At 39.3% G+C, this 25,200-nt stretch overlaps 2 long non-coding RNA genes across 2 annotated transcripts in view; one reads left to right on the forward strand and one right to left on the reverse strand.

Annotated features, from left to right (window-relative positions):
- The window catches only part of HCCS-DT (HCCS divergent transcript), a 263,596-nt gene that overhangs the window by 100,311 nt on the left and 138,085 nt on the right, over nucleotides 1–25,200 (reverse strand). The gene's annotated exons all lie outside the window — the stretch shown is intronic.
- On the forward strand, nucleotides 1,952–16,851 carry LOC124905243 (uncharacterized). The gene is made up of 3 exons (XR_007068389.1): nucleotides 1,952–2,097; nucleotides 3,206–3,389; nucleotides 16,211–16,851. It is a non-coding gene; the product is annotated as an uncharacterized LOC124905243 (long non-coding RNA).

The following is a 25,200-nucleotide window of genomic DNA, read 5'->3' on the forward strand; positions in this document are numbered from 1 at the left end:
CATCATGTGTTTCACGTGAGGGAGTCTGAACCTATCCTCAGCTCTACCTGTGGGCCTGATTGAGGTAGAAATAATGTATGTCTTCTCACTTGTGATTGGATAGAAAATGGGTATGTGACCTTATTCTGGCCAATGAGAGATGAGAGGAAGTCACATAGGGCTTCTAGGACAAGTTTCCTAATTCTTTTGAGAGGGCAACAGAAGAGACGGTCTCTCTTCTTTCTTTGGAAAGCATTGTTTCTGTAGGCGATGCCAAGATCCATCATCTTGCCTAAAGTTAATCTGATAATAAAGGTGGCCATGGGGCAAGTGGTATCAAGAACTTGGATCTTTGTTGACATCATTATGTCGTGGAATCAACCACCCTGAACATGCTCCATCTATGGATGTTTCTTTATGTGAGTTAATACCTCTCCTTCTGGTTCAAGTCAATTTGATTGAGAATATCTTGGTTCCAAAAGCATGCTCCTGAAGCCAAAGTACAGCATGGAGTAGCATATTTGCTACATTTGGTAACCTGAGGCTTCATAAGGAATGCAAGTAGTCTGGCATTTTGAAGATTTTAGAAGAGACATGTTCTTTATTAACAAATTTCTACGGACAAATCTCACAGCTGGATGGCAATATACCCAGAAGTAATACCATTAATCTTTAGGGAAAGCAATGTCTTTGGAGTTCAGACCACTTGAATGCACACATATTTGCCAATCTTGTACACAACTCAAAATTTTGGTTTTAATTCATCATTTCAAAGTACAATAAAATGTTCACCAGAGCAACCAAATAAATGAGAAAAACTTAAATTTACGGCTTCAAAATAATATAGGTTATAAATTATTTCTCTTAGCTCAGCATTTGAACTTCCTGTACTCATTCATCCCGTAAATACTTATTGAGCTCCTATTATGTGCTAGGTGTACGGAATATAGAAATAAAAAGGGCAAAAATCAGTCCTTTAAGGGAATCAGAGGCTATCAGAGTCCTGTACAGTAAACCTTTCTGCAATGATGGAAATGTTCTATATCTGTACTGTGCAGTACAGTAGCCCTAGCCACCTGTGGCTAAAGACTACTTAAAATGTTGCTATTGCAACTTAAGAACAGAATGTTTAATGGAATTTAATTTTAATTAATTTAAATATAAATAGTCACATGTACCTCGTGGTTTCCATATTGGACAGTACAGTCTAGATGGTAATGCAGACAAGAAAATCAAAGGTGATTATATACTATTATCTGTACCACAAAAAGAGATGCACCTGGCTCTAAAAAGTAGGAATCCAGGGGAACAGTGCCTAAGTAATTCAGCCTGGGGCTAGAGGGCAGGATAAGAAAATATATCCAAGGAAAGCGGACCGTTAAACCAAGTCCTAAAGGACAAAGAGAAGTTAATCACTGAATCCACTTTCTGTCTCTATGACATTAAAGAATTATATTTGCATATTCTAGTATGTCATGAAATTAGCATATTCATTTTATGTATACATTGGAGCTTTCCTGAATCACTTACTCTACATTTGATCCAGAAGGATTTCTACTTGACATTTTATGTTACATACAAAATATTTTATGTTAATACAAAAGCACTCATGTGCCAGTTTGAATAGGATATCTACAAACTTGTTTTTGAGCACATGCTACCAAAATAATTTTATCTGATCCTATGCATGTTTTCCTCTTTCATCTATTCTAAATAGTGGTTTTCAGGTTACCATTCAAAATACATATCTGAAAAAGTAAACCTCCAGTTATATAAATAGTATGTGCATGGAGATTCATTTTTCTTTCTGTTGCTTATAGTTCACTGAGAGAGTCATTTCTGACTCTTGAGCTCTTTCTGAAGCTGTGAGGTGCACTTGTCTCTGGAGCAGAACTGAGTGCCCACCTCTGTGAATTGATTCCAGGTCCTATCATACCCTGCATGGTTCCTAAGCACAACATTCTGTCTCTCCCAAAGGAGAGGAGCTGGGAAAATCTGTGTGTGGCTCTAGCTGGCTCTAGAAGATTAATGGCTGAGGAGTGAAGAGGACAAATGCAGGCAGGGGTACTGCTGTGGAGCAGAATCACCAGGAGGCCTGGACAATGAGGAAATGGAGAGGTAATTGGATCTCAGGTGATAACAACAGAATGGACAGGTTTGGGGCAGAGTTGAGGAGAAAATGAGAGCACTACTGGGTTGGAAACACATTGAATACTGGAAGGCAAAGATGGTCAAGGCTTTAAAGTAGGTGACTGAACAAATAGTGTAATAATTTGTGTAAAAAATGTGGAGGATGGCTTGGCTTCTTTTGGGAGTTAGGTGGGGTTCTGTTGGATTCGAGGAGTAGTGGGGTATGGAAAACACAAATTCGGAGGTCAGTGATGCCACATTTAGAGAGATCACTGAGGGGGTAAGGCAGATGGGAAGGAGAGCAAAGTAAGGGGCAAGAGACTAGACAGGGAGCAACCACACAGAAGAACTAATGTGCTTGGAGGTTCTCAGGTCTTGGAAGAGGCTGTGAAGCCCAGATTAAGGTATTGAATGAGACAGTCAGGACAGAAAGAGACCTGGAATGGGGATAGATTGGGAACCACACGTCCGTGATTCACATTAAACAATGGAGAATATGTCCCAAGAGTGCCTTGCTCCAGGAGAGGAAATACGATGCCATGGTTAAGATCCCAGCCTCTGCCACCATTTAACCTGTTTTGGAATTCTGTCTCTGTGACTTCCGGGCCGTGTGACCTTGGACAAATCACATCGTTTTCCTGTGCCTCAGTTTCCTTCTTTCTAAAACAGCAATAGCAACAGTGCCTTGTGTGTCATTGTGAGGATTAAGCGAGTTAATATATGTAGTATATGGGAGAGGCGGAAGAAGGGAAATGGTCTTTCCGAGCTGGAGATCTTGAAGCTTGGAAAGCTTTGATTACTAATGGTGGTGGCAGGGACAGGTATCAGGGGTGAGGTGAAAATGGAGGCCCAGGAAGTGCTGGAGATTGAGGAACTGGCAGATTAGTCTGTTAGGAATAACCTCAACATAAATGTTAAAGGAGAGCAAGCATAAAAAAAAGCAGAAGGAAGACTAAGTTTTTCTTGACAACATTTGAAATTTTAATATTAGCAGATATTACTGATCAACCAGCCTCTATGGTTGGCAGTTTATGTTCCTTTACCTCATTTTCTGCTCATGACAACTCTGCAAAGTCAATGTTTTCTGCCTTTTCAGAAAAAAGAAATTGAGACTGAAGTGGTTTATGTACAATGCCAAAGCTCCCACACGTAGTGCATGGAAAAGGAGCCCTCAGAACCTGGGCTTTTCGAACTACAGCTATGTCATTGGAGGAAAGAGAACAGCTCAGCTCTCCAAATTGCAGTAACTGTTGAGCTAAGGTGATGACGTCAAGGGGAAGGTAAGGAAGAATGCAGAAAAGATGAGTTTGCAAGACTGAAAGCTATTCAACATTGTAATCTGTATTTGCAAATCTAAAAGAGAACCAGTCGGTTTGTATCAGTTCTTTTGGGTTCATTGCAGTTACCCTCTGAACTGAGGAAGCTCTTTTCTTTTCTTTCTTTCTTCTTTCTTTCTTTTTTTTTTTCCGTTGGAGAATAGCATTATCATTCAGATTGGTTTGAGTGTCTGACAATGTTTTATGTAGTCTTCTTATTTCCAAGCCTGAAAAGTTATTCCCCATGTAATAGTTCCATATTCCTTTTGGAATGTGTAGCATGATATCCCTCCCTCCCTCCTAGCAGCTTGTCTTCTATGATATATGCCATTTCATCCCTTTAGCAATTGGAAAATGTATTTCTAGAAGCCAGTCTCTTGGCAATTGGTGCATTATCCATTAAAGAGAATATCCATGCATTCACTAAGAATTGCAGGTTTAAAGTGTTTGGTAATAATCGCTGGTTGTTTGTCAAGCAGAATTTTTGTCTGAACATGAAAATACAACATGAATATGATTTGCAACCATTCCACAGGGTTCCTAATTTCCTCCAGCAACACAGAGTTATTTTTCTTCATGCTTAAAATCCACTACAGGTGCTTAGTGCATTTGGTCTCCTTTGGAGGTACATGTTCTAAGTTTGACACAGGAAAAAGCTGAAAATGTTCTAACCAAGTAATCCCCCCATTCCACAATCTTTTAACTCTGATTTATTCCAAAGCTGAAAGTATTCATCACTAGTTGAGCTAAAATAAACTAACTCTTATGACATATAATTAAATTACTGGCAGAAAGAAAATCTAAAATTCCTCCACAGTACTTCACATAAACATCAGCAGCATAATTGAGTTGAGGTAAAATATTTTGTTGAAAGGCCAAAAAATGTCACCTGAAGGAATTTGTTTCCCTAATCTCTGACGTTGTTTAATTTTCTTCATAATTACCAAAAAATTCACTTTCATGTAAAATCCTCTTTTCTTTTAGCTATTCTTTACCTCACTTCTCTTTCTATGTCTTTACCAGAAACTGGGAATAAAAACATTAGAAAAATGTTTACACTTTTAGCTAACTGATAGTCTCTCCAGATCTGGCTAAAAGAAATTATGCATATACTCAGTATTCACAATTTCTAAGTTTAAATTCTAGAAAGGGGGAGTGTTACATTTCCGTTTTGTCCATCTGGGTTTTCTTTTCAGTTGACCCAAGAACAGACTCGATTATCCTCAAGACTTTGTAACCAGGGCATGTTAATTTGGGGAGAATAGTGATTTCTCGTTTCCTAATTAAATAGCCCTAGGGAGAGGGCCAAAAATTGCCTATTAGAAGCAGCTGTGGAGTAAGGCACTCATGGAGAAGAATGAAAGGGGCAAGTGAATATAGCACCTTCAACTGAAATATCCAGGTGCACTCGCATTGGGACTGATCAGGGAAACAACTACCCACAGAGAACGAAGAAAAAGCAGGGTAGGGTGACAGCCCTCCCAGGACTGACACGGAGCCAAGGGAAACCCCACCCCCAGCCAAGGGAAGCAGTGAGTGATTGTGCAACCCTGGGAAACCACCACTTCTCCCACGGATGTTTGCAACCCGTGGATCAGGAGATCCCCTCATGATCCCCTGCCACTAAGGCCTTGGGTCCAACACAAAGAGCTGTATGGAGTCTCAGCAGGGCAATTGCTCAGGAATGCACAGAGATCAAGGAACTTTACATAGTCTGGGCCCAGGATCCCCAACAAACATGTCTGCAACTCAGGCAAGGCAAGAGGTCCATACACATCCCCAGGAAGGGGACTGAATCCAAGGAGCTGAGCAGCATCAGTCTGCAGACTCCACTTCCACTGCCCCTCTAAGACCCACTGGCTTGGAATTCCAGCCTGCCACTGGCAACAGGGTGAAGCCTGCCTGAGATGTGACAGTTCCCTCAGTGGGAGGGGCAGACCACCATCTCTGCTGTTTGGTAGACTCAGCCATTCCAGCCTGTGGGTCTTGGAGAGTCTAAGCTGACAGAGGCAGAGGCAGTTCCCCAGCATGACATGGCTGTTTTGTCGAGCATAGCCAGACTGCTTCTTTCAGTGGGACCCTGGTCCACTCCTCCTCTGAGGTGGGTCCTCCCAGCCAGGGCCTCCGGCCATCCCTGCCCATGTTCTAAAGCAGACAGAGTTCTCACTTCACCCTGGGACCGAGTGCCCAAGCAGTAGGGCAGGCTGCCACCTCAGCTGTTTGGGCGTCTCAGCCAGTCCAGCCTGTGGGCCTTGGAGAGCCAAAACTGATCAGGGGCTGAAGGGATCCCCAACACAGCACAGCTGCTCTACCAAAAAAGCAGCCAGACTGCTTCAAGTGGGTCCCTGATCCCATTCCTCTTGACTGGGTGAGACCTCCCAACGGGTCTCCAGTCACCTCCTACAAGTACATTTGGGCTGGCAACAGGTCAGAACCCCTGGGATGGAGCTTCCAGAGGAAGGGGCTGGCTGCCATGTTTGCTGTTTTGCAGACTTCACTAGTGATACTTCCAAGTATGGGAAAAACCAAGGTATGGGAAAAACCAAGGTGACTAGGGTCTGCAGTGGACCCCCAGCAAACCACAGCAGCCCTATGGAAGAGTGGCCAGACTGTTAAAAGAAAATCAAACAAGCAGGAAAACAACAGCAACAACCCATAAAAACCCCATCCAAAGGTCAGCAACCTCAAAGATAAAAGGTAGATAAGCCCACAAAGATGAGGAAGAATCAACCCCAAAACACTGAAACTTCAAAAAGTCAGAGTGCCCCTTTTCCTTCAAATGACCACAACACCTTTCCAGCAAGGGCTCAGAATCAGGCTGAGGCTGAGATGGCTGAAATGACAGAAGTAGGCTTCAGAATGTGGATAAATCAAACTTCACTGACCTAAAGACGCATGCTGTAAGCCAATGCAAAGAAGCTAAGAATCATGATAAAACAGTGCAGGAGCTGAGAGCCAAATAGCCAGTTTAGAGAGGAGCATAACCAACATGATAGAGCTGAAAAACACACTACAAGAACTTCATAATGTACTCACAAGTATTAATAGCAGAATAGACCAAGCAGAGGAAAGAATCTCAGAGCTTGAAGACTATCTTTCTGAAATAAGACAGTCAGACAAGAATAGAGAAAAAAAGAATGAAAAGGAATGAACAAAACCTCTGAGAAATATGGGATTATGTAAAGAGACCAAATCTATGACTGATTGGAGTACCTGAAAGAGACAGGGAGAATGGAACCAATTTGGAAAACATACTTCAGGATATCATCTAGGAGAATTTCCCCAACCTAGCAAGATAGGCCAACATTCAAAGTCAGGAAATGCAAAGAACTCCAGTAAGATACTCCACAAGAAGATCAAGACACATAATCATCAGATTTTCCAGTGTCGAAATGGAAGAAAAAATGCTAAGGGCAGTCAGAAAGAAAGGCCAGGTCACCTACAAAGGGAAGCCTATCAGACTTACAGCGAAACTCTCAGTGGAAACCCTACTAGCCAGAAGAGATTGGGGGCCAATATTCAACATTCTTAAAGGAAAGAATTTCCAACCCAGAATTTCATATCTGGCCAAACTAAGCTTCATAAGTGAAGGAGAAATAAGATAAATGCTGAGGGAATCTGTTACCACCAGATCTGCCTTACAAGAGATCCTGAAGGAAGCACTAAATATGAAAAGGAAAAACCTTTACCAGACACTACAAAAACACACTGAAGTACACAGACCAGTGACACTATGAAGCAACCACATAAACAAGTCTGCAAAATAACCAGCTAGCATCATGATGAGAGGACCAAATTCACACATAACAATACTAACCTTAAATGTAAATGGACTAAATGCCCCAATTAAAAGACACAGAATGGCAAGCTGGATAAAGAACCAAGACCCATCAGTATGCTGTCTTCAAGAGACCCATCTCACATGCAAAAATACACACAGGCTCAAAATAAAGGGATCAAGGAAAACTCACCAAGCGAATGGAAAACAGAAAAAAGCAGGGGTTGCAATCCTATATTCTGACAAAACAGACTTTAAACCAACAAAGATCAAAAAAGACAAAGAAGGGTATTACATAATGGTAAAGGGTTCAATTCAACAAGAAGAGCTAACTATCCTAAATATATATGCACCCAATATAGGAACACCCAGATTCAAAAAACAAGTTCTTAGAGATTTTCAAAGAGACTTAGACTCCCACACAATAATAGTGGGAGACTTTAACATCCCACAATATTAGACAGATCATCAAGGCAAAAAATTAACAAAAATATTCAGGACCTGAACTCAGCTCGGGATCAAGTGGACCTGATAAATATCTACAGAACTCTCCATCCAAAAACAACAGAATATACATTCTTCTCATCACCACACAGCACTTACTCTAAAATTGATCATATAGTCGGAAGTAAAACACTCCTCAGCAAATGCAAAAGAACTGAAATCATAATAGTCTCTTGGACCACAACGCAATTAAATTAGAACTCAAGATTAAGAAATTCACTCAAAATCACACAAGTATACGGAAACTGAACAACCTGCTCCTGAATGACTTTTGGGTAAATAATGAAATGAAGGCAAAAATCAAGAAGTTATTTGAAACTAATGAGAAAAAAGATACAATATACCAGAATCTCTGGGACACAGCTAACACAGTGTTAAGAGGGAAATTTATAGCACTAAATATCTACATCAAAAAGCTAGAAAGATCTCAAGTTAGCAACCTAACAACACAACTAAAAGAATTAGAGAGCCAGCAAACAAACCCCAAAGCTAGCAGAAGACAAGAAATAACCAAAATCAGAGCTGAAGTGAAGGAGATAGAGACATGAAAAACCCTTCCAAAAAAATCAATGAATCCAGGAGCTGGCTTTTTGAAAAAAATTAATAAAACAGATAGACCACTAGCTAGACTAATACAGAAGAAAAGAGAGAAGATTCAAATAAACACAATCAGAAATCACTGATTTCTGACTCCACAGAAATACAAACTGCCATCAGAGAATACTATAAACACTTCTGTGCACATAAACTAGAAAATTTACAAGGAAGGAATGGATAAATTCCTGGACACATACACTTTCTCAAGACTGAACTAGGAAGAAATTGAATCCCTGAATAGACCAATAACGAGTTCTGAAACTGAGGCAGTAATAAATAGCCTACCAACCAAAAAAAAAAAAAGAAAAAAAAAGCCACCACCAAATGGATTCACAGCTGAATTCTAATAGAGATACAAAGAAGAGCTGGTACCATTCCTACTGAAACCATTTCAAAAAAATTGAAAAGAAGGAACTGCTCCCTAACTCATTCTATGAGGCCAAAACCTGGCATAGATACAACAAAAAAAGAAAACTTCAGGCCAATGTCCTTGATAAACATCGATACAAAAATCCTGCACAAAATGCTGACAAACCAAGTCCAGCAGCAGATCAAAAAGCTTATCCACCACAATAAAGTAGGCTTCATCCCTGGGATGCAAGGCTGGTTCAACATATGTAAATCAATAAATGTAATTCATCACATAACTGCAGACAAAAACCACATGATTATCACAATAGATGCAGAAAAAGGCCTTTGATAAAATTCAACATCCCTTCATGTTAAAAACTCTCAATAAACTAGGTATTGAAGGAACATACCTCAAAATAATAAGAGCCATATATCACAAACCCACAAACGATATCATACTGAACGGGCAAAAACCAGAATCATTCCCCTTGAAAACTGGCACAAGACAAGGTTGCCCACTCTCATCATTCCTATTCAACATAGTATTTGAAGTCCTGGCCAGGACAATCATGCAAGAGAAGGAAATAAATCATATTCGAATAGGATGAGAGGAAGTCAAACTATCTTTGTTTGCAGATGACATGATCCTATACCTAGAAAACCCCATTGTCTCAGCCCAAAAGCTTCTTAAGCTGATAAGCAAATTCAGCAAATTCTCAGAATACAAAATCAATGTGCAAAAATTGCTAGCATTCTTATACACTAACAGGCAATCTGAGAACCAAATCACAAATGAACTCCCATTTACAATTGCCACAAAAAGAATAAAATACCTGGGAATATAGCTAACAAGGGAAGTGAAAGACCTATTCAAGGAGAACTACAAACCACTGCTCAAAGAAATCAGAGATGACACAAACAAATGGAAAAACATTCCACGTTCATGGACAGGAAGAATCAATATTGTGAAAATGTACATACTGCCCAACGCAATTTATAGATTCAATGCTATTCCCATAAAACTGACACTGACATTCTTCACAAAATTAGAAAAAACTATTTTAAAATTTATATGGAACAAAAAAGAGAGCCCAAATATTCAAGCAATCCTAAGCAAAAAGAGCAAAGCTAGAGACATCATGCTACCTGACTTCAAACTATATTACAGGGCTACAGTAACCAAAACAGTGTGGCACTGGTATAAGAACAGACACATAGACCAATGGAACAGAATAGAGAACCCAGAAATAAGACTGCATATCTACAACCATCTGATCTTTGACAAACCTGACTAAAACAAGTAATGGGGAAAGGATCCCCTATTTAATAAATGGTGCTGGGAGAACTGGCTAGCCACATGCATAAAATTAAAACTGGACCCCTTCCTTACACCATATACAAAAATCAACTGAAGATAGATTAAAGTCTTAAATGTAAAACCCACAACTATAAAACATCTAGAGGAAAACCTAGGCAATACCATTCAGGACATAGGCACAGGCAAGATTTCATGACAAAGACAACAAAAGCAATTGAAACAAAAGCAAAAATTGACAGATGAGATATAATTTAACTAAAGAGCTTCTGCACAGAAAAAGAAACTATCAACAGAGTAAACAGACAACCTACACAATAGGAGAAAATTTTTGCAAACTATCCATCTGACAAAGGTCCAATGTCCAGCATCCATACGGAACTGAAACAAATTAACAAGAGGAAAACCAAACAACCCCATTAAAAAGTGGGCAAAGGACATGAACAGGCACTTCTCAAAAGAAGACCTATATGCAGCCAACAATCATATGAAAAAAGCTCAACATCACAGATCATTAGAGAAATGCAAATCAAAACCACATGAGATACCATCTCACACCAGTCAGAATAGCTATTACTTAAAAGTCAAGAACAACAGATGCTGGTGAGGTTGTGGAGAAAAAGGAATGCTTTTATACTGTTGATGGGAGTGTAAATTAGTTCAACCATTTTGGAAGACAGTGTGGCAATTCCTCAAAGACCTAGAGGCAGAAATACCATTTGACCCAGCAATCCCATTACTGGGTATATACTCAAAGGAATATAAATCATTCTATTATAAAGATACATGCACGTGTATGTCCATTGCAGCACTACTTACAATAGCAAAGACATGGAATCAACCTAAACGCCCATCAATGATAGACTGGATAAAAAAAAATGGTTACATATACACAATGGAGTACTATGCAGCCATAAAAAGGAATGAGATCATGTCCTTTGTAGGGACATGGATAGACCTGGAAGCCATTATCCTTAGCAAACTAACGCAGGAACAGAAAACCAAATACTGTATGTTCTCACTTATAAGTGGTAGCTGAATGATGAGAACACATGGACACATGGTGGGGGGCAGAGAGGAACAACACAAACTAGGGCCTGTTGGAGGGTGGGAGGAGGAAGAGCATCAGAAAGAATAGCTGTTGGATGCTGGCTTAACACCTGGGTGATGGGATGATCTATGCAGCAAACCACCATGGCACATAGCTACCTATGTAACAAACCTGCACATCCTGTACATGTACCCCTGAACTTAAAATCAAAGTTGGAAATAAAAATAAATAAATAGCCCTGAGGAACACACCACCCACCTGCCACCCCCCCATCCCCACACACACATATGCTACTCAATCACTCTGTACTTCAACCCATTCAGGAACTTGTTAGGATGACTTCAGCTTTGTTTTGCTTGGGAGTTTGTCCTTTCTGTCACTTCAAATTTCAAAATGATATGGTCATTTCAGAAGCCAAAATTGCAGTGCCCACACCACATGGAAAATTTGTAGGCCAACACTTTCAGGATTCACCACAATATGAACAACAAGTCAACACAATGGTGGTTTACAAGGCAATAAATTTTTCCTTCAAGTTTTCGTGGTACCATTTTCATATTAACTTCTAAGTTTGAAAAATTCTCTTAACCACCTCCTCCCTTTTCCTGTTGAACACCAATTTTTAAATTATCTGGTGGTTTAATAAACTTCTCTTATTTTTCCACACTCTCTTCAACTGTGCTAGTATTTTTCAGGCTACTTTTCTTTCTAAATGCAGGGGGCAGGGAGAAAAAAACCAAAAACTGGACTTGAATTGGAAATTTGGGATTGGCCTCAACTCTGTCATTTATTAGCCATGTGACCTGTGGCTGGTCCTGTGATGACTCTGAGCCTAGTGGGCTCATCTATAAAACAATGTTATAAATACCTACACAAGTGGAGGATTCAAAAATATGGTACAAAGCTTGTGAAGAAGCTTTGTAAGTGCCAGGAGGCTACACATAGGTAATTTTTATTCAGAGGCATCTTTGTGACATAAAATATCTGGCAAAAGAATGCATTGGCTTTCTTCTTCTCCCACTAGGAAGAAAGAGCACTGTCTCAGGTATCAGCACTCACTGCTGTAATTACAAATGTCTTCCCACTCTGAACTCCAGAAAACTCTCCTCACATTTCAGAACTATCCCAGGCCTGCTCTCAAGAAGGTAACTCTACTCCTACTATTTTGTAGCCCATAGTCTACTGATAACATATCCATATGCCTTCATATTCTCTAATGTCTCTGCCCTTTGCCTTATCCTCAAGGCTCTACCTCCCTTGCCAGCCTTTCCGAAGGAAGTTTGATTGCTCCTTCTCACACTTCCCATGACTTGGGGATGGGATTAGAATGACTAGGAGGAGATGGAATAGTCCCTACTTTCTTCTATAGCTTTTAGGTTCCTGCCCCAACATCAACATGCTATAATGTTCCTAGTTTGTGTGTGTGTGGGGGGAGGGTTGTTTTGTTTTGTTTTGTCGAGACAGGGTCTTGCTCTGTCACCCAAACTGGGGCACAGTGGTGTGATCACGGGTCACTGCAGCCTTGACCTCCCAGGCTCAAGTGATCCTCCCATCTTAGCTTCCTGAGTAGCCGGGACCACAGGTGCATACCAACATGCCCAGCTAATTTTGTAATTTTTTTGTAGAGATGGGGTCTCATTATATCACCCAAGTTGGTCTCAAACTCCTGGGTTCAAGAGATCCTCCTGTCTTGGCCTCCCAAAGTAATGGGATTATAGGCATGAGCACTGAGCCTGGCTCTGTTCCCAGGTTTTAAGACTTTTGTCATATACTTACACATCTCTCCTTTCCCATTTATTGTTGTTCCATTTTGAGACACATTGCCAGGTGTTTTAAGACACTAGGCATCCACTGCCATCCTTCTTTTCAAAGACATCATCCTCCAAGGCACTGACAACCCTACTGATGCCCCTTCTGACACCACAGTTCACAGATCCTTGTCCTTCAGTGCACTAAAAACTCATCTCTTTGGTACTTCCCCTCTAAGGAAGCATTACAATATACTTGACCATTTCATGTGACTAAGATCTCACACCGTGAGATCCCTCTAATAGACTACAACCTCCTGAACTTCCCAAGCTTTCAAATCCTAATTCCTGCTGCATCTCCTTCCTCATGCTGGCATCCACTTCCTGGATCCCTCCCTACTTTTCTAGTGGATTGCCAACTGTGGTCCAATGAATAGTGACCCTCCCAAAGGTTTCCACGTCTTAATCCTTAGAACCTGTGAATATGTTACCTTACATGGCAAAAGGGATTTGCAGATGTTATTAAGTTTAGGATCTTGAGATGAGGTGATTTTCCAGGAGCCCAAAGTAATCGCAAGGATTCTTATAAGAGGGAGGCAGGAGGATCAAAGTCACACAAGGTGATATGAGGATGGAAGCAAAGACTGGAGTATGCAGCTGTGAACCAAAGAAAGTCAGCAGCCTTTAAAGCTGGGAAAAGCAAGAAAGATTCACCCTGGGGAAGTAGGGGAGACCTAGCACTGACACCTTGATTTCAACCCAGTGAAACTCATGTTGGATTTCTGGCCTTCAGAACTCTTAAGATAGTAAGTGCTGTATAAGCCATCAAGTAGGTGGTAATTTGTTACAGCAGCCATAGGAAACTAATATACAACCATAGCTGAGTGGCCTCTTGACTCAGTTCTGAAAGAGCCAATGGTCAATAATTTGTTTTTCCCTTCACCCTAGAATTCCTCTTGCCAATTCCCAACTGACTTCTATTACAATTATGGAACTTTTCATTCCTACACATCTGTTTTTGAGTGATGTTAGAGCAGACCTTAAACTAATTAGGATCATTTATAAATTACTGAATTATATAAATCTTTTTCCTTGAAGATTTCTCACCAGTGGCTCAGTAGTAGATGCTGAAAATATTTCTACTCTGTCTGGGTTACCAAATCCACCTCCACCCACTTCAGTCTTCAATGAACCCACCTTCTCTGACAAAACTGAGATAATCTACAACCTTTCAACTTTTCTTCTATCTATTTTTAGAACTGTTTTTAAAAATATAATTTATTTTTTCTTTTTAATTGATATATAATAGTTGTACATGTTTTTAGGGTACACATGATATTTTGATAGATGTACACAAAATAGTTAGAAGAGAAGACTGGAATGTTCCCAACACAAAGAAAAGATAAATGTTTGAGGTATAGATATTCCAATTACCCTGATTTGATCATTACACATTGTATACATGTATCAAAATATCACATATACCTCTTCTGCTTTTAACTGCCTCTTTTCTTCCCTCTTGTCTCAAATTCAGTGCCCTTTTTCCTTCTCAGCTCTATGTACGTCCTTTCCATATCCCCTAGATCCCATGCCATTCTGCATCTTCCTGGGTCTCACACCATCTATTAGCTTCAATCACTGGGGTGCATAAGAAGGAGTCTTGTGCACTGGGAGCTCCACTCCCAGGTTCAGGGAAGCACTACCTAAGCCATCCAAGATAAAAATCATTCTCATGTTGTTTCCTAAGATCCCCAAAGCTAGATCCATAGCTTGTTTCTTTTTACCATATTTTCTTGCCTTAAATATAAAGACTTTCTCAAGTTGAAGAGAGCATTCTATTGTTCTGCCGTTTGGAGACACACAGGAAAAATAATAGACACAATGACATTAATAGGAATTCTCTAAGATCATGTGGATTGCAGATATTCTATACCACTGTCTCCATAAATATAAAATGACCCATTTGTTTTGTTTTGTTTTGTTTTGTTTTGGAAATTAGAGTCACTCTTCCCATGATACTTAAAGAACTGTGCCTTTTGGGTAATAGACACTCACTAAATATTATTGAATTAAATATTCAAAATAGCTCATTGAAATGGACATTTTTCATGAGCTGCATCATCATGGGCATTGGACTCTTAACCCAAACAGCTAGATTTGCCTTCAGGTAAGAATCTCTCCATCTCTGTCCCCATAAATTTGTTACAAAATAATATATTCATCAGTGTATAACCTTTACCATGTGGCTTCCCACTGTGAAAACAGAATTAGGTGCTTTTTACTGCTGACACTAATATATGCTTGTTATAGGCTTCAAAAATGTCATGTAATAGTTCCAAAAATTTTCGCTGGCAATTGAAGCCCATGGATAAAGAGAAAGAAGCATAAAAGGGAACAGTTGTGTATATATATATGTGTGTCTATATATATATACATAATAACTGACATTATGTTGATGTTAAAGATGTCAACATTTTTGGGGAAAAATATTGCTTATTTTAAAATGTCTAACATTATTCTAGCCAAATAAATAAAGAATCAAGCTCTTGCAGAAATATAATCCTTTTGAAAAAGGTATAGATTTTTTCGTATAGCTATTTTCTTTTTGCTTAAATTAATTGCATTTGTATGTAAAGCACACAGACCTATATTTAAAAAGTGTATTATATATACTAACCTTCTCAAAATTTATATTTTCAATCTGTGAATTTACATATATATGAAATATATAAACCATTTCAATGATAGTACCAGAATACATTTTAAATCCCAATTTATGAAAATATCTTAAAGAAATTATGAAGACATTTAAATAAGAAAAGCAATATGGAGTACTGAGAAGAAAGTACATGTTTGAGCTAATCCAACCTGGATTTGAACCGTTATCACTCACTATGTATTATTTAATAAGTTCAATCCCATTAATACCAAAAATGACATATAATAATATTGTAATTCTCATCTTCCTCGATGTTATGGAGCTTAAATGAGTCACAGCCTTTCCAAAAACATGGATTTCTTTTCTTCCTTCTGTTTAAGAACTGTATCTAATTTTACCCCCAAGCGTGCCCAACACAATGCTTTAAATAAAGTAGATATTCAATAAATGTTTACTAAGTCAATCAATGTCTTGCAAATCACTTGGCAATGCACATTATCTATTTTCCTCCACACTGAGAAAAAACCTTCATAGATAAATCAAGTTAATCATTTCCCTTAACCTAAGAACTACACCTCAATTTCTTTCAGAGAACCTTACATTTTGAGTCTCTATGAGTTTCTTGTAAATTATGTCTTCTATGGGGCTCGGCAATCAAGTGGCTAAAAAGAAAAGAGATGCCAAAATTTAAGGAAAAGGAAAACACATGATTTTAGCCATGGTATTGCTTCAGAAGGTTTTATACACTTGACCTTTGATAAACATGTTTTTTCTCCCAACAGCTATTCCTGATTTTACTCCAAGGTGGCTTTCCCAAGACCAGAACCAGCTCATGAAAAAAGAGCCCAATCAGGAAAGGGTGGTTAGACTCTAATCACCCTGGGCAGTCCCTGCCTCTTCTCCTTGGTGCTCCTCATTCCCCTGCAGGTACCAACCAGTCCTTTAGCATCCTTACGGGGCCCCTCTCTAGGATTTGGGGAGTGAGTGAAAGAGTTGGCACATCCCAGTTTACGGAGGGCAGACCATGTGCAGGGGCTTCACAAACATCATCAACTTTCACCCTTCCAGCATTCCTGCTGGGAGACCCTCCTTCATTTTCAGAAGAGAGTCATTTGGGGTTCAACCAGTTTCAATAAATCATTTGCCCACGTCACAGAAAAAGGAAGGATTAGACCTAGTTTTCTTTTTCTTAAGATACATCATATATCATACAACTTGCCCTTTTAAACTATACAGTTCAGTGGTTTTTGGTACATTCATGATGTTGTGCAACTATCACCACTGTCTAATTTAAGAACATTTTTATCCCTCTAAAAGTAAACCCCATACCTTTTAGCAGTTACTCCTTACAACACCCCACCCTCAGTCTTAGGCAACCACTACTTTCTGTCTGTATGGATTTACCTATTCTGTACTTTTTATATAAATGGAATTTCATATTGTTTTTGTAAAAGAAAGGAGTAAACTAGGATATATTTTATATATGTATAAAGAACCTACAGAAAGATATTTTAGTCCGTTTGGGCTGCTAAAACCAAATACCTTAGACTGGGTAATTTATAAATAATAGAAATTTATTTCTCACAATTCTGAAGGTTGGGAAGTCTAAGATCAAGGCACTGGCTGATTGGTGTCTGGTGAAGGCCTGCTTACTGGTTCATAGACAGGGCCTTCTCGCTCTGTCCTCATATGGTGAAAGGGGTGAGGGAGCTCCCTGGGGTCTCTTTTATAAGAGCACCAATCCCATTCATGAGGCTCCGCCCTCATGACCTAATCACTTCTCAAAGTCCCCACCTTCAAATACCATCACATTGGTATTAAGTTTAAATATATGAATTTTGGAGGTACACAAATGTTCAGTTTATAGCAATGATGGAAGGGGAAACTGAAGAGATTCCAAGGGTAAGAGGGGCTCAACCCACCACTGTCGGCAGGGGCCAGGGGAAAGCAAGAGAAAGAATGTAGGCAGCTGCTGGGAGCAGAGTGGTCTGACTGACAGCCAGCAAGGAAACGGGGACCTCAAGCCTACAACCGCAAGGAATTGAATTGGCTAACAACGCCAAAGAACTTGGAAGTGGATTTTTCTCAGAGTCTCCTGAGGAGAGCCTAGTTGGCTGACACATTGATTTCAGCCTTGTGAGCCCCTGAGCAGAGAAATCAGCCAAGCCAACTCGACTTCTGACTTACAGAGCAGTGAGATTTTGTGTTGTTTTAAGTTGCTATATTTGTGGTAATATGTTGCAGCAGCAATAGGAAACTAATACGCACCTAGCTGTATTATTTGTCTTCTTATTATAAATAAAGATTGAAAGCTAGTGGAAAACCAAACAGACTATGCTAACATAATTGAGAGTAAGGCTAGTTTCCTAGTGACATAACTTATCCAGTCAAAAGGTCATGATAGTTTTTAAATTTTGTTTTGCGCACCTACGCTTGATAATTTTAGTCTGAAAATTGTAATTTTGACAAAAATCTCCAGGGAAGCAAATCTTTCTAGTAAAACTTGAATGGCAGGCTTATTAACCCAATGTTCTCTGTCTCCTAAATCTAGAGCCTTCCCTTAATACTAAAATTCCAGGATATAAACATGGTTTCTTTCATTCTTAAGAAGTTGATTAACAACATGCCCCGGTGTGTGATGTTCCCCTTCCTGTGTCCATGTGTTCTCATTGTTCAATTCCCACCTATGAGTGAGAACATGCGGTGTTTGGTTTTGTTGTGGGGTGGGGGGAGGGGGGAGGGATAGCATTGGGAGATATACCTAATGTTAAATGACGAGTTAATGGGTGCAGCACACCAACATGGCACATGTATGCATATGTGACTAGCCTGCACATTATGCACATGTACCCTAAAACTTAAAGTACAATAATAAAAAAAAGAAGTTGGTTACAACTGATAAAAATTAAATTGATAGACTCTAAAGAGACAGACACTTGGCTTAAAGGAGAATGTTTGCCTTGTCTATTTGAAATGTCTAAAGGTTAACTCTGCACTTTATCTAACCTTTAACCATACAGTTTTTCCTTTTGGTATTGGGTATGTTCCAGAGCTTTTCTAAAGGAGTTTAATGTTATTACATGGGGAAAATGGTCAAATAAGTGGTCTTTAATACAGAATTAAGATGAAAGTTCTAAGAACACCATTTCTCTTATTATCATTTAGCTCTATATGGCTAAGTACTTTGTGTGAAAACAAAAACAGTTCAAAATTGACTACATTCTATGAGAAAAAGCAGAAATATTTTTCCTACCTAATTTGTTGGAAAAGCTTAATTAATTTATTTTATTTTATTTTATTATTATTATACTTTAAGTTTTAGGGTACATGTGCACAATGTACAGGTTAGTTACATATGTATACATGTGCCATGCTGGTGTGCTGCACCCATTAACTTGTCATTTAGCATTAGGTATATCTCCTAAAGCTATCCCTCCCCTCTCCCCCCACCCCACAACAGTCCCCAGAGTGTGATGTTCCCCTTCCTGTGTCCATGTGTTCTCATTGTTCAATTCCCACCTATGAGTGAGAATATGCGGTGTTTGGTTTTTTGTTCTTGCGATAGTTTACTGAGAATGATGATTTCCAATTTCATCCATGTCCCTACAAAGGACATGAACTCATTGTTTTTTATGGCTGCGTAGTATTCCATGGTGCATATGGGCCACATTTTCTTAATCCAGTCTATCATTGTTGGACATTTGGGTTGGTTCCAAGTCCTTGCTATTGGGAATAGTGCCGCAATAAACATACGTGTGCATGTGTCTTTATAGCAGCATGATTTATAGTCCTTTGGGTATATACCCAGTAATGGGAGGGCTGGGTCAAATGGTATTTCTAGTTCTAGATCCCTGAGGAATCGCCACACTGACTTCCACAATGGTTGAACTAGTTTACAGTCCCACCAACAGTGTAAGTGTTCCTATTTCTCCACATCCTCTCCAGCACCTGTTGTTTCCTGACTTTTGAATGATCGCCATTGTAACTGGTGTGAGATGGTATCTCATTGTGGTTTTGATTTGCATTTCTCTGATGGCCAGTGATGGTGAGCATTTTTTCATGTGTTTTTTGGCTGCATAAATGTCTTCTTTTGAGAAGTGTCTGTTCATGTCCTTCGCCCACTTTTTGATGGGGTTGTTTGTTTTTTTCTTGTAAATTTGTTGGAGTTCATTGTAGATTCTGGATATTAGCCCTTTGTCAGATGAGTAGGTTGCGAAAATTTTCTCCCATTTTGTAGGTTGCCTGTTCACTCTGATGGTAGTTTCTTTTGCTGTGCAGAAGCTCTTTAGTTTAATTAGATCCCATTTGTCAATTTTGTCTTTTGTTGCCATTGCTTTTGGTGTTTTAGACATGAAGTCCTTGCCCATGCCTATGTCCTGAATGGTAATGCCTAGGTTTTCTTCTAGCGTTTTTATGGTTTTAGGTCTAACGTTTAAGTCTTTAATCCAGCTTGAATTAATTTTTGTATAAGGTGTAAGGAAGGGATCCAGTTTCAGCTTTCCACATATGGCTAGCCAGTTTTCCCAGCACCATTTATTAAATGGGGAATCCTTTCCCCATTTCATGTTTTTCTCAGGTTTGTCAAAGATCAGATAGTTGTAGATATGCGGTGTTATTTCTGAGGGCTCTGTTCTGTTCCATTGATCTATATTTCTGTTTTGGTACCAGTACCATGCTGTTTTGGTTACTGTAGCCTTGTAGTATAGTTTGAAGTCAGGTAGCGTGATGCCTCCAGCTTTGTTCTTTTGGCTTAGGATTGACTTGGCCATGCGGGCTCTTTTTTGGTTCTATATGAACTTTAAAGTAGTTTTTTTTTTCCAATTCTGTGAAGAAAGTCATTGGTAGCTTGATGGTGATGGCATTGAATCTATAAATTACCTTGGGCAGTATGGCCATTTTCATGATACTGATTCTTCCTACCCATGAGCATGGAATGTTCTTCCATTTGTTTGTATCCTCTTTTATTTCATTGAGCAGTGGTTTGTAGTTCTCCTTGAAGAGGTCCTTCATGTCCCTTGTAAGTTGGATTCCTAGGTATTTTATTTTCTTTGAAGCAATTGTGAATGGGAGTTCACTCATGATTTGGCTGTTTGTCTGTTATTGGTGTATAAGAATGCTTCTGATTTTTGTACATTGATTTTGTATCCTGAGACTTTGCTGAAGTTGCTTATCAGCTTAAGGGGATTTTGGGCTGAGACAATGGGGTTTTCTAGATATATAATCATGTCATCTGCAAACAGGGACAATTTTGTTTCCTCTTTTCCTAACTGAATACCCTTTATTTCCTTCTCCTGCCTAATTGCCGTGGCCAGAACTTCCAACACTATGTTGAATAGGAGTGGTGAGAGAGGGCATCCCTGTCTTGTGCCAGTTTTCAGAGGGAATGCTTCCAGTTTTTGCCCATTCAGTATGATATTGGCTGTGGGTTTGTCATAGATAGCTCTTATTATTTTGAGATATGTCCCATCAATACCTAATTTATTGAGAGTTTTTAGCATGAAGGGTTGTTGAATTTTGTCAAAGGCCTTTTCTGCATCTATTGAGATAATCATGTGGTTTTTGTCGTTGGTTCTGTTTATATGCTGGATTACATTTATTGATTTGCGTATATTGAACCAGCCTTGCATCCCAGGGATGAAGCCCACTTGACCATGGAGAAAAACTCTACGAATTAATCTAGCTGTTGGGTAAAATCTACTTATTTTTAACATCATCTCTCCTCTTCTAAGACCTGTATCCACCTCTTGCTACCCACTGCTGTCAATATTTATTTCAGTAGTTCTCAACCAGGGGAGATTTTGCCTCCTAGGGCACATTTGGCAATGACTGGAGGTGTTTTTGACTGTCACAACTGGGGGTGTGCTAGTCAATCTAGTGCGTAGAGGCCAGGGGTGCTGCTGAACTTCATACAACGCACAGGACAGCCCCTTCTACAGATAATTGTCCAGCTTCCAAATGACAATAGTGCCAAGTTTGAAAAATTCTGGTTTAGATGGATCTAGAGAGGTGGGTCAGTAATGAATAAAGATATGGAGTTCTCCATTTAGGACAATTAATGAAAGCCATGTTAGTACAGGATTGTTGTGAGAGAGGGAGAGGGATAGGGAGAGAAAGAGGTTTGACAAATGTCTATATTAAACTATATTAAAGTAACAGAAAGAGAGACCAAAAAGTAGAGGCAAAAACCAAGTGATCAGAGAAATAGGAAGATAAGGATAACAGAGTGTCACAAAAATAAGGAGGGAGACAATTCTAAGGAAGACTTGGTCAGCAAGGTTGAATGCTATGGAGCAGGAGTGTTGAATGAGCACGAAGGAAACACCATGACTTTCATACTAGGATATTATGGGTGACCTCCAAAATATAAGCTTTAAGTGAACAGTGAATTTTGGAGAAGAGTTCAAGGCTTGAAGGAATCGGAACAGATGCTTTTTTTTTTTTAATTTCTGTTTATTTTTGTTTGTTCTATTGCCTTTTTAAGACAGAAAAAGATGGAGAATGTGGTTATGCTGACAAAACCACCACCAGGCAGGATAAAAAATATCATTGTGCTAAAAATTATCCTCTGAAATAATTAGCATTTCAATAAAAATTTTAATTTTTTTCACAATTTCAAGCAATCACAACATTTAAAGAGGCATATATCATATATGACATTTAAAGGGAGATATGAACTATCTTGTGAAAAACGAGACATAATTTAATACAAAGAAGATACTCTTCTTCCCTCCTTGTTCTTCTTATACCTAGTTGTAAAGTCCAGTTTATGCAACATACAACAAATGAAAGTTAATTGGATCTAAACAATTAGTCAACTGGGGTGAAGGGACTGCAAAGAGGAGAGCATTGGTTATAATGCTCTCGGCATGATGACCACCAGTTGGTAAACCAATTTGGTTTCTGCACTTTTCAGCTGATTTTTTCTGAATAGTATAGAGAGGTTAACTCTGATTTTCCCATTTGAAACCAAAATGGATTTGACATCAAAACTATTTCTTTAAGTAAGCCATAAAAATAATCTGTTCAACTGTCTGCCTCCTTCATGCTGGGCTGCTGGTTGCCATGCTGGACTGCGAACTGTCATGCCAGGCTTGAAAAGCCATTACTTCACATAAAACCCAGGCCCGCCCCCATGGTCCCACATAGCTCTTGATGGGCATGCTCTGTGGCTCCTTGGATCAGGCCTGAGAGCTGGAAAGTCGCTATGGAGCAGCAGACAGAGTCAATCAAACGAGAACTTCCTTTGGGCAAGTGCAACTACAGGAAACAATAATAGACTTCAGATTTCTGGGAGGGATTCTTCTTATCCAGTCTCTTAAAAACAGAAAGCTTTTCTCAGACCCTTAAGTGAATTTAGTTCCAGCTTTCTTTCAGCTTTGGGTTGGAGAGAATGTAGCTGAGTAATAACTAACAAGTATAATGCATTCACTCTCTTCAAAGCCTCTGCCATACCATTTTAGGGGTAGAACTGAAGCCCAAAGCCATGTGCATTTCAGCCCCTGTGAGTTGGTTAGCTCCCTGTGTCACAGTGTCTCATCCTAAGTCAGTTTATATGAAGGGTTGTGGATAGAACATCATATTCTTTGTATAACTACTGGAAAATAAAGACGCCCTCTTTCTGATGTGAGTCCTATAGCGTCTTGCATGAAAAAGAGAACATTATATTATTCTTGGTGATCAGAATAGATGCTATCTAGAAGATACTCACCTATACAATTCGATTTCCAATTCATTAGTACGTGAGCTGGCTACCCTGCCATGTTCCCCCACTGGTTCTGCAAGTCCACAACCCTCAGTCTGTCCATCCCCCTCTTCCCCTTCCATGACTTTGGCATGACACACACTTATGTCTCTCTAACTCCTCCCCTACTACCACCTTGCCCAACACTTCAGAGCAGCACCCCAGGATCTTGGCATTTAAGTTGTGAAAAGTCACCAGGCTTAACTGTATCAATGGCCCTACTGAATGCTCATACAAATAAATTATGGTTTAGTGTAAAAAACCCCACTGCCTTTGTAAATGCTGCAGTAACACTCATTACATCAGAACAGAGCCAAAGAAAGAAGCTTAGATTTAATCTGTTTTAATCTCAGTTATTTCCTAATATAAAAGACTGTGGGCATTTTCACATTCTTTGGAAGGATTAGCGAAGGCCAACATGAATAACAAATTGACATTTCTGAAGTTCTGGAAGAGCCAAAAGCAATATAAAAGGAAGGCAGACAGATCAAATTTCTGAACAGAATTATTTTTCTTAGCAGAGTTTAAAAGTTAACATTAGGAACAAATGTTAAACAGCTCTGCACAGTTATTTATCTTTACCTGGAACACATTTTGCCAAACAGTTTAACTGACAATTTAGAAAGACATATCTTCATGTTATAGAGACAAAGAAACTTCTTCTATGTGACAGGCATAATAAGAGTTTTTTTAGAGTAATCTGTATAACAATTTTTACATTCCTCTAGTCATTTTATTGTCTGAAATATTCCAGAACTAATGCTGCCATTTTTTTTTTAGTGAAGAGTATGTTGGTTCCCATGAAATCGTTGAATATTTGTGTTAAAAGAGATTTAAAGAAAAGTAATCTACTTCAGCTTTTCATTTCATAAATGAGGAAAGTCAGGCTAAGAAAGAGTACCCAAGCAACCAGTGTCATAAAATCACAGATCTATGACAGTTCAGGCCTAGGATCCTGGTTTTCTGATGACTCATCCAATGATCTTTTCATTTATCTTTGTCCTTTTCCTCAAGAAGATTATATTTTATCATTATATAGTATTAACTTGCTCCATTATAACCACATTCCAATTTGCTTTGATGTATCTTAAATCAAAATAGCAAAAACAAATTGACTCTTGTGGCTCTACTTGTCTTAATGCCCCACAAAGTCACTGAGAAATGCTGTGAGGGTTGGGTCCATCCCAGCCCTTGGATATAGATATTTTCACATGTAACAGAATTGTGAAATGAAAAGATTTCTAAGATATTAGTTCTACGATAGGATTCTAAATCCTAACACATTCTGCCTTCCCTCTTAGTCCTAGACATAGGGTTTAGTCCAAACCAGGGTTTCTCAACCTTACCACTATTGACTTTTAGGGTCAGATAATTTTTGTAGGTGAGTATCAACCTGTGCCTTGCAAGGTGCTTAGCAGCATCCCTGGCTTCTACCTACTAGATGCCAGTAGCACCCCACCCCTAAATTGTGACAACCAAAAATGTCTCCAGAAATTGCCAGAAGTCTCCTGGGGTGGGGGTACAAAATCACCTCAAATTGAGGATCATTGGTCTAAACCCTTTAGCACTTACATAAACCTTGACACAAAATAGGAGCAAAGCAGAGATGAAAAGTGGGATACAAAGGAACTTACTGGCATCTTTGACTATGAACCTTCCTTGACTCTAAAGCCAATTAAATGTTTTGGTGGAAAAAAAGGAAAGTTGTTTTAATCAACCATATGCCTTTCCTCACTCCCACCACACTTTTGCCTTAAAGTTTGTTTTTGTTGCCATGAAAACAGAGCCTGCCTGTTTGTAATTATAATATTATTCTGCAGCAAATTTCAGAAAGCGCCAATTGGTACACTTCCAACCTCAAATTCTCTCCCTCTTCATCTCCCTTCCCTAGACAGGAGTTTAGAGAGGGGGAAGGAATGAGAGAAGAATGCCTGGTATCCTCAGCTCTGACCTCCTAATGCCTGCACTCAGCATAAACCTCTCAGGTCTCCAGGACCTGGCAATCAAACCTTCCAACACGGCCTTGTCTCT

Source organism: Homo sapiens, chromosome X, assembly GCF_000001405.40.
Source record: "Homo sapiens chromosome X, GRCh38.p14 Primary Assembly".
Lineage (NCBI taxonomy): Eukaryota > Metazoa > Chordata > Mammalia > Primates > Hominidae > Homo > Homo sapiens.